Below are 22,527 nucleotides of genomic sequence, written 5' to 3' on the forward strand. Positions count from 1 at the left end.
TTCCAATGAGGCCTGAAAGTTTCCATCAGTCATGTAACGTTTTCCATTCTAATGGGAATAATGAGTGTTAATAATAAATGTAAGACCCCTATATCTTGTATCTTGAACAAGGTATCATTGCACTCTTTCATGTAAGAGATTTGTAAGCTTACCCCAGGGGGAACGAGTTACATATGCAAATCCCTTGTCTTAGTCTAGAGTTCCCGCTGGTCCTCTCTGTTGAGCTGTATGTCTCCCCAGCCTAGAGGTTCTCAGATTGGTCTTCCATCAACACTGTCAACACTGTTACCTGGGAACTTGTTAGAAATGTAAATTCATGGGGCCTACCCGAGATGTACAGAATCAGATGCTGTGTGGGGTGGGGCCCAGCAGGTTATTTCAAAAAGCCCTCCCAGTGATTTTGATGCACTTTAAAGCTGGGAAAACCACTGCCTTCTTCTGTTTTTAGGAGAGGCTTGCCCCTTGGTTCAAGGGTTCAAAGGATACATGCCTGTGAAGACTTCTGTGAGCAAGGTCTTTGAGATTAAACCCTAAGGAGGCTTTGAGTGATACTGCCATAAGCTCCAACCATCGCTTCTTTCAGCCTTGGGAAAAGTTATAATTCCTTAAGGATGTTAACTTGAACATTCCTTACAGAAGCTGAGCTATAGAGGGTGACACTGCTCTCTGTCCTTCATCCTTCAGAGGATAAGTGATGTCAGCATGAGGCTCTTTCTTGGACAATTGACATTTCCCACCTTAAGATGGAGGGTGGGGGGCAAAGCACCCTGAATTGAATCACAATGGACCAATGTCAAATTGCAGTCTTAAGTTGTAAGTGGAAGAAAGGAAGGATGATTGATTCAGAATCTGCTGTTCCTTTGCATTAATTTCCACAATGGCCCCCTGAGGTAGATACAATTATCCTTAAAGAAAAGTGAAATAGTTTGACCAATTTTAGTGAGTGGTAGAGTGGAGATTCAGGCCCAGACAATCATATACCAAGAACCAAACCTGTAGCCACCAGGCTACAGTGTTACCTGTGGTGCATTAGGATCCTCTTTTTTTCCTTATGTTTTTCCTTCTTTCCATCTCAGCATTGCACCCTAGTCTGTCCTGCACTGCACTTCCTCACCACAGAGAGGCTGGGACTTCTAGGCTTTTTGTCCTTTCATTGATTGACTTTGGTGGAGTTTGGAGGAAACAGAGGGATTTACAACTCCCCACAGCCCCATCCAGGTTAGAAAGATTCCCCATGATATAGGGAGGAGAGCACAGGTGGAGAGGATGAGAGCAGTGAAGTTTGTGGATCTGCAGAGTGAGGTCCTACATCCTGCCCCCTGGCGAGCAGCAAGAGAAAAATGTGGCTCAGCCAGTTTTATTGGAGGGAGACAGAGATGGCTTTGCAGGGAGTTCTTGTCTCAGAAGCAAGACTGGTTGCTGGGCCTGAAAGTGTTGAGTGGAAAGGCTGTTATGGTCTGAATGTGTCCCCTCTAAAATGTAGGTGTTGTAATGTGATTGTATTAAGAGGTGGGGCCTGTAAGAGGTGATTGGGCCATGAGAGCTGCTCCCTTATTAGCAGGATTAAGACCCTTTAAAGAGAAACTGCATGGAGCTAACCTCTAACTAGAGACTTTCCACTTTGACCAATCAAATATTATCTTTGTCTTATTTCCTCAAACACCTAATAAAAATTTTCTCTCCCACCCCCTTGGTGGAGGCATGAACTGCTTATGGTCTGGTGCTGCCCAGTTTATGAATGGTTAAATGCTCAAATAAACTGCGTCTTTTAATACCTCTTTCCCCTTCCTTCCTTCCTTCCTTCCTTCCTTCCTTCCTTCCTTCCTTCCTTCCCTTCCTTCCTGCTATTTTTCTTGTTGCTATTATAAATGATGTTGCAATGAATTTTTTTTTACCCATAACTTTATGCTTTGTTTTAATATCTACTTTTTTTAAGGTTGCTTTGTTTTACTTTTGCATCTGCTGGCTCCTAAGTTATATACATTTACAATTTTGATAGCTACTGCCAAATTGCCTTTCAAAAAGACTGTATTATTTTTAACTCCCACCAACAGAGTTACAAACAGTAATGTTTATGAATTCTGCATTGTACTTCCCTTTTTAATGACCACATTATCCTGCCAGACTGTAAGATTCCCTGAGGGTAGGAATCTGCCTGCCTTTCCTCTGCTGTGTCCTCAGCATTTAGCACAGTGCCTGGCCCACCACAGGTTCTCTGTAAGTATTTGTCGAGTGAAACAAAAGGCGCAGAGTGAACACTCGCCAAAGGCTTCTTCTTAGAAGTTTGCCTGGGAAAATTTTAAAACAAGAACTTCCGATTCACAAGAAAAAAAATTAAGCTTGGAGGACCATAATTTTCTAAACTCACTTTTGTAGATTAAAAATAAAATCCTAAGTCTTCCACCGACTGAACAGACCCCCATCTGGCTAAGGGGACCCCAGAAAAACTTTAAACATGAAATTCCCAGTCGTGATAGGTAGGTCAGACATACCTTGTTATAGCCCCTCCCTTTTGGAGTTTAGGCACAACTGACCAGAATTAATTTTTTTTCTTTTTCTTTTTTTTTTTTTTTTGAGATGGAGTTTTGCTCTTGTTGCCCAGGCAGGAGTGCAATGGCGGGATCTTGGCTCACTGCAACCTCCGCCTCCCAGGTTCAAGTGACTCTCCTGCCTCAGCCTCCCAAGTAGCTGGGATTATAGGCATGCGCCATCACGCCCGGCTAATTTTGTATTTTTAGTAGAGACGGGTTTCTTCATGTTGGTCAGGCTGGTCTCGAACTCCCGACCTCAGGTGATCCGCCCAATTCGGCCTCCCAAAGTGCTCGGATTATAGGTGTGAGCCACCGCGCCCAGCCAGCATTAATCCTAAGGCTAATAAAATGGACTCTTTGTGACAATAAGATACCAAATTATAATCAGGATCTAAGGCCATCCAGACAATGGTTAAGTCACACACTCCTACAGGTCTCTCTGACTCAGTATGTTGGTTAGTAGACTTCCTTATTATAACCTAAAACGTTCCTTTTTGTTGACTTCAAATTTTTAGACAAAGTTTTACTCCTTTAACCAATTGCAAATTAAAGAATCTCTGAATCCACATACAACCTATAACCCTGCCTCCCCTTCAGGATATCCCACTTTTCTAGGCTGAACCAAGGTATACCTTTCATTTATTGATTTGTGTCTTTACCTATAACTTCTGCCTATCTAAAGTGTATAAAACCAAACCGTAATCCAATTGCTATGGGCACGCTTTCTCAGGACCTCTTGAGAGTGTGTTCCCTGGGCCATGTCACTCATATTGGTTCAGAATAAACCTCTTTGACATATTTTACAGAGGCTGGGCATGATGGCTCACGCCTGTAATCCTAGCACCTTGGGTTGCTGAGGTGGGTGGATCGCTTGAGCTCAGGAGCTCAATACCACCCTGGGCAACATGGTGAAACCCCATCTCTACAAAAAATACAAAATGTAGCTGGGTGTGGTGGTGCATGCCTGTAATCCTGCTACTCGGGAGGCTGAGGCAGGAGGATTGCTCGTGCCAGGAGGTTGAGGTTGCACAGTCATGATCGTGCCACTGTACTCCAGCCTGGGTGACACAGCAAGACCTTGTCTCAAAGATTTTTTTTTTTAATTGATTTTTTTTAAGAGAGTCTTGTTTTTCCATTAGCACCTGGGACAGTGAAGCTAAAAATGTCTGTTGTTTTTTTCCAAATTTTAATTTGTTTCTTTGGCTTGGTAGTAATACAAAGAGGAAGAAGAAACCTTGGATTCTGCAGGTGTGCTCAAGTTGGATATTTGCACATAAATGTAGACAAGCATCCCCTCTGGGAAGCTGGATATCCACACTGTGGATCCCCGGGCAATTTCTTTCCAAGTCTGTGACCTTGATCAATTGTCCTACTAAGTGTAAGGTACACTGCCAATATGTGACTTAGTCTCTTTGGCTGACAGGCAGTGCGTGGGTCTAGTTTGTGGCACAGAGGGCCTGGCTTAAGTCCTGCCTTTTTGCTCTGTGACCTTGGGCAAGTCACTTTGCCTCTCAGGGCCCTCACTTCCGGAGTGGAGATAGTCATTTCTGCAGTGCCTGCCTCTTGGCCAGTTGTGAGGCCCAGAAGCAGGTTGTAAATTGTAGTGTGCTATGCAAATGTGAAACATTAGAAGCAGAGTAGTTTGTTGGCGTCTTGACAAGATCTTGTAGGGGAGGAAAAATAATTTTCTTTCTACCTTCCATTGTTCTTAGTTGGGATTCCCTGTAACAAAAGACAGATAAACAAGAGTAAAATGAAGAGAAGTCTAATAACATGTATACCTCCTCTGTACAGGGGAGATATTCAGGGACATCTCAGAGCAAAATCTCAAGAGTAGATCTCAAAGAATTGTCTGAGGGTTCAGGCTTAAATACCATCATACCTCCCCACTCACCTGCTGGCCCCCCAACAAAAAAAGAAAGGTATGGGAAAGGGCAGGAAAAGCACTGTTAACAAGGGCAAGGTTTGTTATACAGACTTAAGTGACACCTTCCCCATTGATAAGAGAATCTAGTGATTTAGTAATCTCTCTCTTCCTGGGGCAGAGAGGGAGATACCCTTAAAATAGAGATCTCCTTTATAGATGCAAATTTCTCTTAAAAAAGGACAACTTCTCTTGTTTGCAGAACTTCTCCTATGCCTGCTTTCCCCACAAATAATCAGTTCACAATAATCCTTATGTTACACAGGCATATTTTGGGTTGATATATTCTGGTCATGTTTTGGGGTGCTGTGTCCTGATCCCCAACAACACAAACAAATGAGAAGATCAGTGGGAAAAACAAGAGTTCTGCTACAGGAAAACAGTGCTTGGGGGGCCACTCTGAAGAATATGTTAAGTGACAAGAGGAGAAGAGGATGGAGGGCGGGCAGGCACTGAGGAATGACGTGGAAGAGAGAGGAATGCAGCCAACCCTTCCAGGGACAAGAAGGACTTGGCTCTATTGCCTCTGTGAAGCAGGGACCTGTCTCCTTGGGGCTGATTTGTTTTATTTGGTGTGTTGTTAACCTTTGCTCAGTCCTAGGCTGTGGTTAACTTGGGGCCATAGGCAGGGGGAGAAGGTCACAGCAAATTTAGTGGGAGGCATTTTAAGTACTTAAAGCAATAAATCCTCATGTACCTCGAGCCTGCTCAGGCTTCCCTAAACCTGGGAATTCAATTTTGTGCAGCGTACACAGTTTGCCAAGCACACTAAGTCATTGAGAGAACAACTTGATGTATTGCTGTGGGGAAAAAAAATGCTGTGTTCCTTTCGTCATTCAAATTAGCAACTTTTCATACTGGGATGACAGGTGACTGATCACCTGAGAATATATCCTGTCTTCTAGTGATTTGATATCTCTTCCTTCTCTGTTTCCCTATCTGTATTTTCATGCCTTAAAGAGTAAAGAGAAAACATTTCTATTACAATTGCTATAGAATCAGTACCTGATTCATAAGCCCCAAGCCTCAGGGCCTGGCATATGGTAGGCATTAATAAATGATGAATGAATAAATGACTAGATTTGGTTGCTGTCTGCAGACTGCCCTGTTTCCTTCCCAGAGGGTCGGAGGAAGCTTTTGCTTTTTTTTTTTTTTTTTGGTGTGGTGGAAGCAGTATGCACTGCTGCAGTGCAGGACATTGTACGTCTGCACTGTTCAGACTCTCCTTGGGTAAGAGACTTATTGTCCTGGCTTCTGAGAATGGTGGTAGCCCCTTGAGGAATTGCCTAAGTTGCAGAGAGCTGTCTCGCCCAAGGTCAGCCTTTCCTGGGGTGTCCAATATCCATCGACTCATCCATGTGGGGTTGTAAAGAGCTGGCCTTCTCAGCCCAACCAAGGACAATTCTGAAGGGCTAATCTAGCTCTACACCTCTTTGTGGGGTTGGCTGTCATTGAGCTGGATCACAGCTTCATTTTCTGTCTCTTCTGTCCCCTCCCTTCCATAGGTGTTGACCCAAGAGCACTCATCAGTAAATCTCCTATGTAATAAACTCAGAATGGGCTTCTCAGCCCAACCTGTGCATTTTATTTTATTTTTAGATCCCACTCTGACTTTCTTCCTCATTGGCAGAAATACCAGCTAACATTTATTGAGTGCTTACGATCAGCTAGACACTCTACTTGCCTTGTCTCACTTAATCCTCACGACAACCCCAGGAGTGGCCGTTTGAATCTGCATGTTACAGGGGAGGGAGCGAGGCTGGGGATTCTGTGACTTATTCATAGCCACAAAACCAGTAAGTGTTGGGGCCAGAGCTCGATACCAGTTGAATTTTAGAGCCTAGGCTCTTAACCACTCTGCCATTCTTCTGGTACCCCTGCTGCTAACTTTAGAAAAAAATTACCTGTGTTCTACAGAACCTTTGGGGGAATATTTATATGGGCCCACGTTGTGGGGCCTCTATAGAGTTCACCAAGTACGTTAGTGTCGTAAGAGCTCTGAGACGTCCTACTGTAGGGAAACCTGTTAATGTTTTCCAAACTTATTTGACCACAAAAACACATGCAGTGGCCCTATTGACATCCTAATGTTCTGTGGAAAAAAACTTCGGGAAACACCGGCCTAAACTGTAACAGCTTATTTTACTTTATGCAGAACTGGTAAATGTTTGTGGGGTTACCTCCTTTGGTCCTGACCTATTATTCTGCTACTCTGAACAAGTGGTTTCAAATCTGTACAACAGGGATAACATTTTACCTCTTGAAGGTCACATAGTAGTCAAATGAGGTAATAGATACAAAAATTCTGAAAATCACTGCTAACTGCAGACAAGGAGTTATTAAGCACGGATGTTTTAAGATTCAGAAACGTTAAAGTGCCAAATGTGTCAAAAGCCATTTCTCACATAAAACTAGCTTTGAAAAATTTCTGATGGGAGTCAGCTCTACACGTAGGTGTGTTAAGGACTGTTTGAACGAATCATAATTAGAACACATGATGCATTAGAGTTAGGTCATTTTTGCAAAGGGAGATGTTTACTTATCAAATAAATTTTGAGCATTCAAATACTTTTTGAGAATGCTTATGTAAATGTTCATAGGAATAAAAGTAAGTGTAAGTGATGGACCCTATTTTCAAATAACTTAGTGCTTACAGCATATAGAAGGCAAACACATGCCTTTCACGTCCTTTTTTTACCTCGCATGCCCATCTCAGAACTTGCTGGTCAGTCACTGCACTTTTAACTGTTGAACTCAGATATAGCTGCAGAGCTGCAGAATTTTTTATTTTTATTTTTAGTTTTGAGATAGGTCTAATTCTGTCGCCCAACCTCTCACTGCAGCCTTGACCTTCTGGGCTCGAGCAATCCTCCTACATCAGCCTCCTGAGTAGCTGCGACTATAGTCATGCACCACCATGCCTGGCTAATTTTTTTTTTTTTTTTTTTTTTTTTGAGACAGAGGTTTGCTCTTTCGCCCAGGCTGGAGTGAAGTGGTGCGATCTTGGCTCACTGCAACCTCTGCCCCCCTGGCTTCAAGTGATTCTCCTGCCTCAGCCTCCCGAATAGCTGGGATTATAGGTACCTGCCATCACTCCTGGCTAATTTTTGTATATTTAGTAGAGACGGGGTTTCGCCATGTTGGCCAGGCTCAGATAATCTGATAATCCTGACCTCAGATAATCCACCCGCCTCAGCCTCCCAAAGTGCTAGGATTACAGGCATGAGCCACCATGCCCGGCCCTGGCTAATTTTTTTATTTGTACTTTGTAGAAACCGGGTCTCATTATGTTGCCTAGGCTGGTCTCAAACTCCTGGACTCAAGCAATCCTCCCCGCTTGGCCTCCCAAATTGCTGGGATTATGGGCATGAACCACTACGTCCAGCCTACAGCTGTAGAATTCTTGTCATAGCACTCTAGCAAGCCACTACTAATTGATCAGAGTCAGCTCATGAGATGAAACCTATTGCTACAGAAACCTGATGTATAGATTCTAGATGTGCAAACATAAAGAATGTATATCAAGGGAGAATGTGACAAGTGCCAAAAGAATTGTAAAGTCAGAGCACATAATACATATCATAGGCTAGGGTAGGCAGGGAGGGCTTCCTAGTAGAAGCAGGAGTTAAACTGGGCCCTGAAGGAGGGGAGGACTTGGATGGTGGCCAGGATAGAGCAGGCTGTTCTAGGACACCCCCACAAAGGTGAATTAAATCCCAATACCTAAAAGGTAGCCTCTGTCTAAAACCTTTGCTGATGATCTCATCACTGAATGTGGACACTGATGTTTCTTCATCCTAGATTCTAGAAGGCTGATACCTTTCAGAGTCTTTTTGACCTTCCAATTGACTGCCAGCATCCAGATTGTGATTTCAGTCTCTTGCCGAGTCAGAAACAGAGAACGCACGATTCCAGGAGCCCATAAATTACTTCTAGTTATTGCAGTGACGAAAGGCCTCTTCGAAGGTGACTTGCTCACTCCCTGTTTTATAGCCTCATACATCAAAGAGGAAGATGGAGCGGAGTCAGTTTCTATGACGAGATCCAGGCTTCAGGAGAAACGGGTGGCAACTGTCTGCAAAATGGAGCACTTTCTGTCAAAACTCAATTAAATTAGCCTTGATTCTACAAATAATAGGACAAAGTTTTCCTCCCCACACCCCTCCAGACCCCTGTACCTTCTTCCTGTACCTCTTCAGAAAATTGAGTTCTGAGTGCATTGCACTAGGAGACAGTTTGTAAAATTTAGGCAATGATTAGTTTAATTCGGCCTTTGCATTAATATACAGAAACTGAATGTGCTGTGGGTTAGAAGGGGGAATGAGTTGCAAGATATGCGAGATGCTCAGTGAGGTATAGAAGGAAGATAACTGGATGGAATGCCAGAGAGTTGGATTCTTGCCCTCAGTGCCTCTAGGTTGCCAGCTCTGTGACATTGAGCAGGTCTCTTTCCTTTTAGGTTCTCAGTTTCCCCATTCTGGTCATGTTTAAGGCTTTGTATCAGCCAGCACAGCCATCATAGTAACTTATGTCTCCAAGCTTTACTTCTCATTCATGCCACATGTCTGCTGTGAATCAGCTGAGAGCTCACTTCCGTGTTCTCTGGGACTCAGGCTGATGGAGCAGCCACCATTTCCATTGCTACAGATTGCTGTGGCAGAGGGAAAGAATGTTCTGGAAGGTCTCCCATTGGCAATCAACTGGCCTGGCAGTGACATATGCCATGTCCTCTCACAACACATTGGATGTGGCCAATGAGTCCTATGGCCTCACACAATCACAGGGGGCCAGAAAGCACAATGCTACCATGCTGGCATTTAGTGAATAGCATTGATGCATATCCCAGGCCCCTTCCAACTCCAAAGCTTTATGATTTTCTAGTTTCCATTGAACTCTGAGTTTTTATTTCCACCTTTCACTTTGGTTAGGATTCTTGATTCTAAAGTAGATTGCCTTCATTCACCAAGTGCTGATTGACAATTCTTTAATTTCCTTATGGAGGGATCTACTATCCCTACATGGTTCCACTAGCTATGTGATCCTGGGAAACTGTTCTGTGACTCAGTTTCCCCATCTGTCCAATAGGAATAATAATGACACCTACTAAAAAAGTTGTTGGAGGATTAAATTAGTCAGCATTTAGAACAGTGTCTGGCATATGTTGAGTACTCAAAAAGTGTTAGACATTGGTGAGGAAGGCAATACAGTGTGGAGGCTATGAGTACCAGCTCTGGAGCTAGACTGCCTGGCTTTGAATCCTGGCTCTACCACTTACAGGCCATGGTACCTGGGGCAGGGTAGTTTTCATATCTGTAAACTGGGGGTAGTAATAGTGTCTATTCTACCTCAGCAGACTGTTATGAGGATTAAGTCAAGTAATATACCCAAAGCAGTTAGAACAGTACCTGGCATGTAGTGAGGGCTTGAAATTATTAATTCTAACAGTCATTACTCAGTATGTAGTGTTTAACACCACTGAGTCCATTCTCTGTTTTTTGAGACTCTTTTCACTCTGTTTTTTTTTCTTTTTTGGCCCCATTCTTTCCTGATTTTTCTCCTGCCTTGGTTGTGTTTTTGAAGATGCTTCCCTATCCTTAAAGTTCGAGGGTCCCTAGAGTCTCATCCAAGGCTGTCTCTGCTCCATGCGTTCTCTCAATGAGCTTGTTCATTCTCATGGAATCAGCTTTCACCTACTCACTGGTGGCTTCCAATGATTAACTTTCTTTTCTTTTTTTTTTTTTAATTATTATTATACTTTAAGTTTTAGGGTACATGTGCACAATGTGCAGGTTAGTTACATATGTATACATGTGCCATGCTGGTGTGCTGCACCCATTAACTCGTCATTTAGCATTAGGTATGTCTCCTAATGCTATCCCTCCCCCCTCCCCCCACCCCACAACAGTCCCCAGAGTGTGATGTTCCCTTCCTGTGTCCATGTGTTCTCATTGTTCAATTCTCATCTATGAGTGAGAACATGTGGTGTTTGGTTTTTTCTCCTTGCGATAGTTTACTGAGAATGGTGATTTCCAATTTCATCCATGTCCCTACAAAGGACATGAACTCATCATTGTTATGGCTGCATAGTATTCCATGGTGTATATGTGCCACATTTTCTTAATCCAGTCTATCATTGTCGGACATTTGGGTTGGTTCCAAGTCTTTGCTATTGTGAATAATGCCGCAATAAACGTACGTGTGCATGTGTCTTTATAGCAGCATGATTTATAGTCCTTTGGGTATATACCCAGTAATGGGATGGCTGGGTCAAATGGTATTTCTAGTTCTAGATTCCTGAGGAATCGCCATACTGACTTCCACAATGATTGAACTAGTTTACAGTCCCACCAACAGTGTAAAAGTGTTCCTATTTCTCCACATCCTCTCCAGCACCTGTTGTTTCCTGACTTTTTAATGATTGCCATTCTAACTGGTGTGAGATGGTATCTCATTGTGGTTTTGATTTGCATTTCTCTGATGGCCAGTGATAATGAACATTTTTTCATGTGTCTTTTGGCTGCATAAATGTCTTCTTTTGAGAAGTGTCTGTTCATATCCTTTGCCCACTTTTTGATGGGGTTGTTTGTTTTTTTCTTGTAAATTTGTTTGAGTTCATTGTAGATTCTGGATATTAGCCCTTTGTCAGATGACTAGGTTGTGAAAATTTTCTCTCATTTTGTAGGTTGCTTGGTCACTCTGATGGTAGTTTCTTTAGCTGTGCAGAAGCTCTTTAGTTTAATTAGATCCCATTTGTCAATTTTGGCTTTTGTTGCCATTGCTTTTGATGTTTTAGACATGAAGTCCTTGCCCATGCCTATGTCCTGAATGGTAATGCCTAGGTTTTCTTCTAGGGTTTTTGTGGTTTTAGGTCTAACATTTAAGTCTTTAATCCATCTTGAATTAATTTTTGTATAAGGTGTAAGGGAGGGACCCAGTTTCAGCTTTCTACATATGGCTAGCCAGTTTTCCCAGTACCATTTATTAAACAGGGAATCCTTTCCCCATTGCTTGTTTTTCTCAGGTTTGTCAAAGATCAGATAGTTGTAGATATGTGGCATTATTTCTGAGGGCTCTGTTCTGTTCCATTGATCTATATCTCTGTTTTGGTACCAATACCATGCTGTTTTGGTTGCTGTAGCCTTGTAGTATAGTTTGAAGTCAGGTAGTGTGATGCCGCCAGCTTTGTTCTTTTGGCTTAGGATTGACTTGGTGATGCGGGCTGTTTTTTGGTTCCATATGAACTTTAAAGTAGTTTTTTCCAATTCTGTGAAGAAAGTCATTGGTAGCTTGATGGGGATGGCATTGAATCTATAAATTCCCTTGGGCAGTATGGCCATTTTCACGATATTGATTCTTCCTACCCATGAGCATGAAATGTTCTTCCATTTGTTTGTATCCTCTTTTATTTCATTGAGCAGTGGTTTGTAGTTCTCCTTGAAGAGGTCCTTCACATCCCTTGTAAGTTGGATTCCTAAGTATTTTATTCTCTTTGAAGCAATTGTGAATGGGAATTCACTCATGATTTGGCTCTCTGTTTGTCTGTTATTGGTGTATAAGAATGCTTGTGATTTTTGTACATTGATTTTGTATCCTGAGACTTTGCTGAAGTTGCTTATCAGCTGAAGGAGATTTTGGGCTGAGACAATGGGGTTTTCTAGATATACCCAATGATTCACTTTCAAGCTTTGCCTTTCTCCATGTCTACTAGATATGTTCATGTGGATATTACATGGCCCTCCAAATTTCTGGAACTGAACTCTTTTGTTTTTAAATTAAATACAAAAAGTTTGAACTTTTATTTTAGATTCAGGGGTACATGTGAAGGTTTATTATATAGGTAAACTCATGTCATGGGGGTTTGTTGTACAAATCATGTCATCACTCATGTACTAAGCCTAATACTCAATAATTACTTTTTTCAGATCCTCTCCTTCCTCTCACCCTTCTCCCTCTGTTAGGCTCATGTCTGTTTTTCCTGTCTTTGTGTCCATGTGTTCTCATCATTTAGCTTCCACTTATGAGTGAAAACATGCGATTTGTGTTTTTTTGTTCCTGTGTTCATTTGCTTAAAATAATGGCCTCCAGCTCCATCCATGTTCCTGCAAAAGATATGATCTCATTCTTTTTTATGGCTGCCTAGTATTCCATGGTGTCTATGTACCACATTTTCTTTATCCAATCTGTCATTGATGGGCATTTAGGTTGATTCCATATCTTTGCTATTGTGAATAGTGCTGCAATGAACATACATGTGCATGTGTCTTTATGGTAGAATTATTTATATCCCTTTGGGTATATACCATGTAATGGGATTGCTGGGTTGAATGGTAGTTCTGTTTTTAGGTCTCTGAGGAAATGCCACACTGCTTTCCACAATGGTTGAACTAATTTACACTCCGACCAGCAGTATATAAGCAGAACTAAACTTTTTATCTCCCTCTGTCATTGTCATCATCCAGCCACCACCTTCTTTTCTATTCTTAGCATGATGGCTCAGAGGATGAGCTTTTAAATTACATGTACCTAAGTTGTAACCATTGCCACATACTAGCTATGTGAGCTTGGGCAGGTGACTTAGCACTTCTGAGCCCTGCTTTCCTAACCTCAGAAATAGGGATAATAATAGTACTTTCCTCATAGGGTTAGTCTGAAGATTGAATGGGGCCATTATATAAACGACTATCATAATATCTGGAGCATAATATGTGCTCAATAAAAGTAGCTACTGCTAATATTATAAAAATGATGATGACATTGATGCTTTCTATAACTCAGGTGCTTTCATCTTATTTAGACATTTGATTTCTCCTGTGTGGATTATTGTAGCAGCCTTCTGACTCATTTTACTCCTTGTCTCATCTGATCTTGCTCACCTCCACTGACTCTTATTTCCCCCAGAATTATCTTTCTAAACATAGCTTTGATCACATCATTCAGCTACTTAGAACCCTCAAATATCTCCTTGTTGCCTAAAGCACTGCCCCAACAGTGCTAACTTATAGGAGTACTCAATAAATATCTATTGATTATTAATTTGCTTACTTACCTGTACTCCACATTGGCACACGGTGACCCATTAGTGTAGGAGGGCTGCAGCTATCCAGTAAGGTTTTGAGCAGGACCTGACACTGCACAAGTCCAGTGGGACGCTTTTCACATTATATTATATGTAAACGGCACCCCAGAACTCTTTCTGGAGTTGGACAGAGCGACAGCCTGGAAGAGTCCTGGATCCTCGTGTTGTCTCCTCTCTTGGGCAAGTCACTTAGTGGTTTTGAGCCTTAGTTGTGCGGTGGGGGTATTAAGACTTGAACTACTTTCCCTTACAGTTGTGGGAGGCTGGCGAAAGTGAACAGGCTTATGACCTGGGAAGTGCCGTCTTTCACAAATGCTCCTGCCATTATTGTCACCAGTAGTGACGTGAAGAGTAAGGACTACGAAGAACCCCATTTCTGGTAGTCAGTTTCTAAGATAAAAGCCCCATTATGAGCAGTGGATATGTGACAAGCCCAAAGAGATTCTTTTTTTTTTTTTTTTTTTTTTTTTGAGAGAGTCTTGCTCTGTCACCCAGGCTGGAGTGCAGTGGCGCGATCTTGGCTCACTGCAACATCTGCCTCCCAGATTCAGGCAATTCTCCTGCCTCAGCCTCCCAAGTGACTGGGATTATAGGCATGTGCTACCATGCCTGGCTAATTTTTATATTTTTGGTAGAGATGGGGTTTCACCATGTTGGTCAGGCTGGTCTTGAACTCCTGACCTCAGGTGATCTGCCCTCCTTGGCCTCCCAAAGTGCTAGGATTAAAGGTGTGAGCCACCGCGCCTGGCGAGATTCTTTATTTATAATTTAAACTACCTTGTTTTTCTTATTTCAAAGACAATACTCATAATAGTAGGAAATAATAGTTTAGCTAAAAGGAGAAAATTAAAACACCCATAATCCCACCCACACAAGAGCAAACATTACTAATTCCTTGACATATTTTCTTCTAGAATCTTTCACAGGTATATGTGGTATACACACCATTTGATAGCCTGCTTTTTCCCCCCACTTAATGTACCAGAAACCTCGTTTCACTTTAATAAATACACCTTCACAATGTGATTATTAATGGCTGCATGTTATTTCAGGGTGAGGATATGGTTTAATTTATTGAGCCAACACACTCTTGCTGCATTAAGGTTAATTCTTACCTTTTCCTGTTACAAATGGACTGCAAAGAATATCTTCACAGTTACATCTGTGTGCACATCTGTGTTTTTTTTTTTTTCCCCTCAGGTTAAATCACAGAAGTTAAATTATAGGGTCAAAGAGTAGGCATATTCTTTAAAAAGGCTTTTGCAAAGGACTGTCGATTGCCCTCTGGTAAGAATTGTACGCTCAATTGGATTTTGAAGGTCATTCTACCTAATAGTGGAGGGTGCAAAATACATAAACTTTGAACTTTCAAATGGAATTACTCTCTGCTGGGCTGTAATATGGGTTTAATCAGAAATTTTTGTAATTCTAGCTGGGGAATAGTGTTCAATGATAGAGGAGAAGGAACGCCATCTTCACAGTTTTTAGGCGATTTTCTTTTCTATGGATCTTTTTAACATTAAAAAATTGGAGTAGTATTTTTATAGAATATAGTTTTATTTTAATCGATTTTAGTAGAGATGGCTAGTGCTCACACATAGGTGCTTCTCCTCTCCTTCCAAGCATATGGAAAAATGACATTGCGCAGTTCTTTGCAGGTAAGTGGGGCTGGCGACAGGGTCTAGCCAATGACCTGTGAACAAAATAATATGGATCACTTGTAGAATGAAGGACTTAATTGCTTGCATAAGACACCCTGGAGCTTTCTTCTGCACATTGACTGAGAAGGCCCCGTGCTACAGATGGCACTCTGCAGGCTGGTGGCGCCTTCATTAACTTGGGCCTCTGAGCATCACCTGGAGAACAGTTGCCCTGGAGAATCATTTGTACCCATAGTGGACTTCGTGAGTGAGAAATAAAATTGTTGTGCTAAGTCACTAAGATGTGTTTTTTTTGTTTTTCACTGAAGCATGATCTAATTTATCTCAGCTAATACAGTGACACAATTTGATTCTAGATCTAAGTTATTAGTCACTTCACAACTGTTTCTTAGAGTGCCTGTTCTGTGCTGGGTACTGTGGAGGACCTGAGAAAGTGTAACCTTAATCTCTGTTTGCAAAATATGTACAACTTCTCTGGTGATACGGTTCATCTCTATTGTTGAATAATGTGTTTATATATCAAATGTCATAGATTGACTTAAAGGGACTTTGTCATGGCAAACTGGTTCACATATTCATAACAGGAGTAATGAACATCTATAATTCTGTCTGCCCAGCATCGCTTGCTCCACCCTTCTCCTCTTCCTTTAGAAAACTTGTCTCCTACTCTATGTAGTTCTGGTGGGGTTACCAGCTATAATCCCTACATCCCCGGCCATTGGAAAAGGCATATAACTTCCCTGGAAATGTCTGAATTGAAGATTGAAATGGTAGCTCTCTCTTGCCCCCTGTGTCATAAAATGTAAGAAACTGATCCCGGAAGCAATGTCCCCGAGGAGCCTGAGATAATGAGGACAACTTATAGACCAAAGCTGAGATGAACTCTGAGACATTGAACGGTGACAGATTCTAATGCTTTTCAGTTCCTGAATCCTGAGGCCACTACCACCCACGTACCTCAAGACATGTAAGTTGATACTTTCCCTGTCTTTCTTTTTGTTCAAACTAGCTTCCATTTCTTCGAATAGAAAGAATTATCATTAGTATAACAACTATTATATTTGTTGATAAATAATAACATGCTAATAACAACCAAAATAAATAATATCACATACAAATCTCATTTAATCCTTTTAACAATCCCACCACATTGGTACACCTACTAGTATCACCTCCACTTTACAGAGGAAGAGAATGAGGCTGGCCCAAGACAGGAAATTTAGCCAAGGTCACACCGTTGTTAAGTGGTAGGATGGAATAAGACTCAGGCAATCTGATTCCCAAGCCCATTGCTGTCTGAATGTTTTTTAAAGTTTATTTTTCTAAATGGACACATAATAATTGTACATGTTTATCAGGCATATGGTGATGTTTCCATACATATCATGTGTAGTGTTCAGATCAGTGAGTGCAAATCTTAATATCCAGGTTTATAGAAAGTGTTTTCTACCTTCTGTTTCTCTATCTGAAATTTTCTACAAAGGATGACAAAATAATTTGTGGTTGCTTTGCAGAAGTGAATACAATTTTTTTCTTTTGCAGAAGTGAAATACAAACCCTTTTTTTTTTTTTTACTTTTTAAAGTATCTAAAAAACACTTGGCTATTTGGTGTAATTCTAGAATCTTTGATTAGAAGTACTGAGTTTGAAAAGGTGAAACATCATAATAAGAACTTTTGATGAATGAACTAATGTTTTCATGCTGGATATAAACTTCATTTTTTTCTGTAGTATATCCCATATTACCCATTTAAATTTTTTATTTTAGATTCAGGGGTACATGTGCAGGTTTACTACATGGGTATACTACCTGATGCTGAGGTCTTGGCTTCTAATGATCCCGTTGCCCATGTAGTGAACATAGTACCCAATTGGTAGTTTTTCAACTCCTACCCTGCTCCCTCCTCACTTTTTTTTTGAGACAGAGTCTTGCTGTGTCACCCAGGATGGAGTGCAGTGGTGCGATCTTGGCTCATTGCAACCTCCGCCTCCTGGGTTCAAGCATGCCTCAGTCTCCCAAGTAGCTGGGATTACAGGTGCGCACCACCACACCTGGCTAATTTTTGTATTTTGAGTAGACAGGGGGTTTTGCCATGTTGGCCAGGCTGGTCTCAAACTCCTGGGCTCAAGCGATCCGCCTGCCTTGGCCTCCCAAAGTGCCGGGATTACAGGTGTGAGCCACTGCGCCTGGTCCCTACTGTTCCCATTTGTGTCTGTGTGTACCCAATGTTTAGCTCCCACTTATAAGTGAGCACATGTGGTATTTGATTTTCTGTTCCTGTGTTAATTCACTTAGGATAATGGCCTCCATCTGCATCCATGTTGCTGCAAAGAACATGGTTTTGTTCTTTCTTGTGGCTGCAGATGTTGCCCATTTAAAAACATGTAATTGCTTTCTTTCCTTTTGAATATCAGGCCAGGTTGGATAAACCCATGGGTCTTTCTGGTGAGCTGGCCACAAGGTCAAGGGCATGCCAGCTGCTGAGTGGGCTTTGAGACTTGTTCAGTAGATGAACATGGCTGCCTGCGCCATCCAGCAGAGCATGAAGTGGAGGGGAGGTTGGAGGAGGCAGCCACTCACTCAGGCGCCGGCAGTGTGGGGGCTGAGGTGGCAAGCAGGGTTGTCATTATGCTAATAGCATCCGTGGAGCCACAGCCAGTGACCCCTTGGGGAAAACAAGAGCTCTTGAAGGTCCATTTGAAGCCTTTGCACCATCAGTTTGAAGGCTCTGACACTTGTACTTGGCACCTCCTAATTGATTTTATTTTTCACTTGCCTAAAGAGCATTGCTCCATTAAAGTGCAATGACCTTGCAGACCTAACCGAAGTTTAAGGAGAGGCAGCATATTGGAGGTGGCAGTCTAGTGCAGAGGTTTGGATTGTGGACTCTGGAGACAGACTGCTGGGATTAGAATCTCAGCCTTTGGCCTCAATGGTCATGTGAGTTGGGGCAGGTGCCTTCACCTCTCTGCTTCCTTTTCTTCATCTGGAAAGTGGCAGTGATAGGAGTACCCTCCCAATCTCTTAGCGGGTTGTCCAAAGTATAAAATAAATTAGTGCATGAAGAACACTTCGATAACACCGAACACTCTGTTATGGTTGATCAGTGGTAGAGGAGAAAGCTGTGGAGAGGGCTAACATTTGCATGTCAAATAGAGAAGCCCTGAGTGAGTCTTGATCAAGCCCTCAGCAGCTGGGTGACCTAGGACAAACCACATGCTCTTTCTGACCTTGAATGAAATGTGACCAACTGAGAAAGCACTGTGAGGGATGTCTGACACATCAGAGGTGCTTAGTGAAGGGTACTTTCCTTCCCACTGGGCCCCAGTCTTCCCATATGTAAGGTGAAGGTGGTTGAGATCTTTTTTGTCTTTAACTGCCTAAGAATTTGGGTCTGATATCATAGGTACTGATTAAAAGGGGTATCCTTTTTGGGACTGGCCAGGTGAGTCAAAGCCTCAGGGTGAGTAGGACTCCCACAGGATTAACGGTCATCACCCAAGAGAGTTGCTATCCACTGTCACCCATGGCAGAGTGCAGGGTCCTGAGGGAGTGGGCGCGGGAGGAGGCAACATAGAGAGGTGGCCGGGATGATGGACTCCAAACCAACTTTGCCACAAATTAGCAGTGGGGCTTTGCTGTCTCCAGCTTTAGCTGATCCAACTGGAAAATAGGAGGACCGCTCTTGAGGATTCTAAGGAGTGGACCATGGTAAGGAATCCGGTGAAGGGGCGTGGAGGCAGAGGGTTCTGGGAAATTCAGGAGAAAGTGGGCAGTTAGGAATGGAAGAGTGACTCAAACTTCATCTATCTCATAGCTGAGGCCAGATTTTACCTTTAGATCTGGAACATTTATAATCTTGATGTAATTCAGCATGTGGACTGACCTGAGAGTCAAAATCATTGAAATACGAATGATAGTGAAAACAGCTTATACTATGTGCCAAACACAATGCTCAAGGCATTATCTGCATTATCTCATTTGAGTTTTCTAGCTAATGCTAAGAGGTAACTACTATTACTGGCCCCATTTTACAGATTAAAAAACCCCCTGAAGCTCACAGAGGTTAAGTAGCTTGCCCACAGTCACTCAGCTTGAAACCTGTGAACTAGGAGCTGGAATTCTTTGTTGTTGTTGAACTTTGGGGCTTTTTAGATGGGGTCTCACTCCATCACCCAGGCTGGAGTGCAGTGGTGTGATCTCAGCTCACTGCAGCCTTGACCTCCAGGCTCAAGTGATCCTCCCACCTCAGCCAGAAAGTCTGAGTAGGTGGGACTACAGGTGCATACCACCATACCTGGGTAATTTTTGTAGAGATGAGGTCTTGCTGTGCTGCCCAGGCTGGTCTCAAATTCCTGGGCTTAAACAGTCCTCCTGCCTCAGCCTCACAAAGTGCTGGGATTACAGGCCTGAGCCACCACTCCCTGCTGACCTCTGGCTTTTTAATTTTAGTTAATTAATTTGACAAAAATTGTATGTATTTTTAGTGTACAACATGATATTTCGAAATATGTGTACATTGAGGAATGGCTAAATCGAGCTGATTAGCACATATAGAATCTCCTATACTTATCATATTTTGTGGTGAGGACCCTTAAAATTTACCCTCAGGGGTTTTCAAGTAGACATTACATTGTTATTAACTATAGCCACCGTGTTGTACAATTGATATTTTGAGCTCATTCCTCCTGTCTAATTTAAATTTTGTATCCTTTGACCAACATCTCCCCTTTTCACCCTCAGCCCCTGGTAACCTACATTCGACTCTGCTTCTATGAATTTGACTTTTAGATTATGAGCTGGGATTCCAGCCCAGGTAGTTAGATTGGACCGTGTGTATTCTTCACTGAAACAGCTTGTCCTCAGAGGAAGGAGGAACCAGGATTTCTCACTGCCCGTCACAGCCTGCTTAACAATTTCTGCTTTGGGTCACAGTGACCTGTTCCTATCTCAAAGGCCTTGTATTTGAGGATCTGGTAAAAATATTTGCAAACCAAGAACAAATGTAGTTGTCCTTCCTAAGTATTCAAGTTTTGCTCCCTGGTGTGTGAAGATTACAAGGAGAAAGAAAGTTGTGGAATGCAATATGGTCAGGTCAACCATTACTTCAGGTCCACAGTAGCTTTTGTGTGAGTAGGTGCCAAGATAGACACTGCCAGTGTACTTAGATGTGTGGACGAATGAGAGCTAGGGAGAGCTATGAGCATGTTCCTTGAAGGAAGTGCTGCCGGTTCTAAGTACAGTTCCCTTGCTCATCCTGGGAGAGCCTGGCGGTCCATATTACAGAAGGGAGAGGAACCTGGAGTTCTGAGAAGTGTGTGGGAGGGGAATTCAGGAAGAGGAGAGAGGCACCAGTAATCCCAGGTGACCTCCGGAGTGAGTTTGCTGAGAATCATACAGGAAGACAAGAATGTCTGATGGACATTTTGTCGTGTTTTATTGTGAGGTGGGTGATGTAAAGTCCTTTTTTCTGTGTTGTCTATGAAATCAGAGAATTCCACATAGCTCATTGTGATAGGCAGAATAATGGCACCCCAAAGATGTCCATGTCCAATCCCTGGAATCTGCAAATATGCTACTTTACAGGGCAAATGGGACTTCATAGATGTGATTACATTGAGGGTCGTGAGATGAGATTATTCTAGATTATCGGGCAGGCCTAGTGTAATCTCAGGGATCCTTAGAGAGTCAGAGAAGGAGATGTGACGCTGGAAGCAGGTCAAAGTGATCTATGGCCGTGGTGAAAGAATGCAGGCAGTGTCTGGAAGCTGGGAAAGACAAGAAAACAGATTCTCCCCTAGAGCCCCTGGAAGGAACACGGCCCTGCCAACATCTTGATTTTGGCCCAGTGAGATCCATTTTTGACTTCTGACCTCCAGAACTGTAAGGTAATAAGTGTGTGTGGATATGTGTGTGTGTGTGTGTGTGTGTGTGTAAGACAGGGTCTCACTCTGTCGCCCAGGCTGGAGTGCAGTGGCGTGATCACAGTTCACTGCAGCCTCGACCTCCCTGGGCTCACGTAACCCTCCTACCTCAGCCTCCTGAGTAGCTGGGACCACAGGTGCATGCCACCACACCCAGCTAATTTTTGTATATTTTGTAGAGATGGGTTTCACCATATTGCCCAGGCTGGTCTCAAATTCCTGGGCTCAAGTGATCCTCCTGCCTTGGCCTCCCAAAGTGCTGGGATTACAGATGTGAGCAATGACATCTGGGTCTGGCCAAATTTTGTTGTTTTAAGCCACTCAGCTTATGGTGATTTGTTCCAGATGCAATAGGAAATGAATACATTCGCTTTTGCAAGAAACACGCTGAGTTTCTCACTTTGGCAGCATGTGCTGAGCCTGTGTGCAATAATGAAGGAGACTGGAGGCAGAGAGGGCCCAGTTGTTCAGAGCTACAACTGTGAACGTGTCTTTGACTGCTCTTTGCCACCTATACCTCAGTTCCCAAATCTCATATCCTCTCAGCACCCCTGTTGCCACCACCTGGATCCATGACAATATCCTCTATTGCTTTGGATAAAGGCAATTGCCTCCTAACTTGTTCCCACCTTCTGCTCTTCAGATCTCCCTTCAGGTGCCTCTTGTGTCCTTGTTTAAGTCAGATCATATCACTTCCTGCTCAGAACCTTCCAAAATTCCAAGTCCAGGACCACGACCTACAAGGCTGGTTCCTCCCCTTGTGATTTTCCTTGTGCTTTTCCATCAACACACAGACAAGCTTTGCCCTTGCTTTTCCCTCAGCCTGGATGCTCTTCTCCCAGACATCCTAATGGCTTCACATCTTTAGGTTCTTCCCAAAGTCACCTTCTCAGAGAAGACACTTTCACATTTTACCCCCTCCTCCTAACATCGATATCTCCCATTCTTGTTTATTTTTTTCTCCTTAGCACACACTACTATCTAACACTTAATCAATTTGACTTCTCTATTATATTTAGCATTTATCTCCCTCACTAGAATCTCAGCCCCATGAGGGTAGGGGTTTATTTGTTCAATGCTATATTCTCAGGACTTAGAACAGTGTCTGGCACATAGAAGTTGCTCAGTAAATATTTGTGAATTTATTGAATAAATGAAAGGGAATTGATGGATATCTCAGGGTGGCTCTGGATCTTCCCTGGTCATGGAACTGGAAGGCTCAAGGGCTGGGAACTTCTGAATTGACTGCCTGGCTGTATACTGATTTGTGATTGTATTAGTTTGTTTTCACACTGCTGATAAAGACATACCTGAAACTGGGAACAAAAAGTGGTTTAATTGGACTTACAGTTCCATATGGCTGGGGAGGCCTCAGAATCATGGTGGGAGGTGAAAGGCACTTCTTACATG

General features: G+C 42.7%; 1 annotated feature.

Annotated features, from left to right (window-relative positions):
• Window positions 579–1,080: an enhancer, noted in NCBI's record as "NANOG hESC enhancer chr5:154428817-154429318 (GRCh37/hg19 assembly coordinates)". NCBI's record gives its function as "activates a minimal SCP1, AML or CMV promoter by ChIP-STARR-seq in primed H9 embryonic stem cells {active_cell/tissue: H9 hESC(primed)}" and the evidence as "EXISTENCE:reporter gene assay evidence [ECO:0000049][PMID:30033119]".

Source organism: Homo sapiens, chromosome 5, assembly GCF_000001405.40.
Source record: "Homo sapiens chromosome 5, GRCh38.p14 Primary Assembly".
Taxonomy (NCBI): domain Eukaryota; kingdom Metazoa; phylum Chordata; class Mammalia; order Primates; family Hominidae; genus Homo; species Homo sapiens.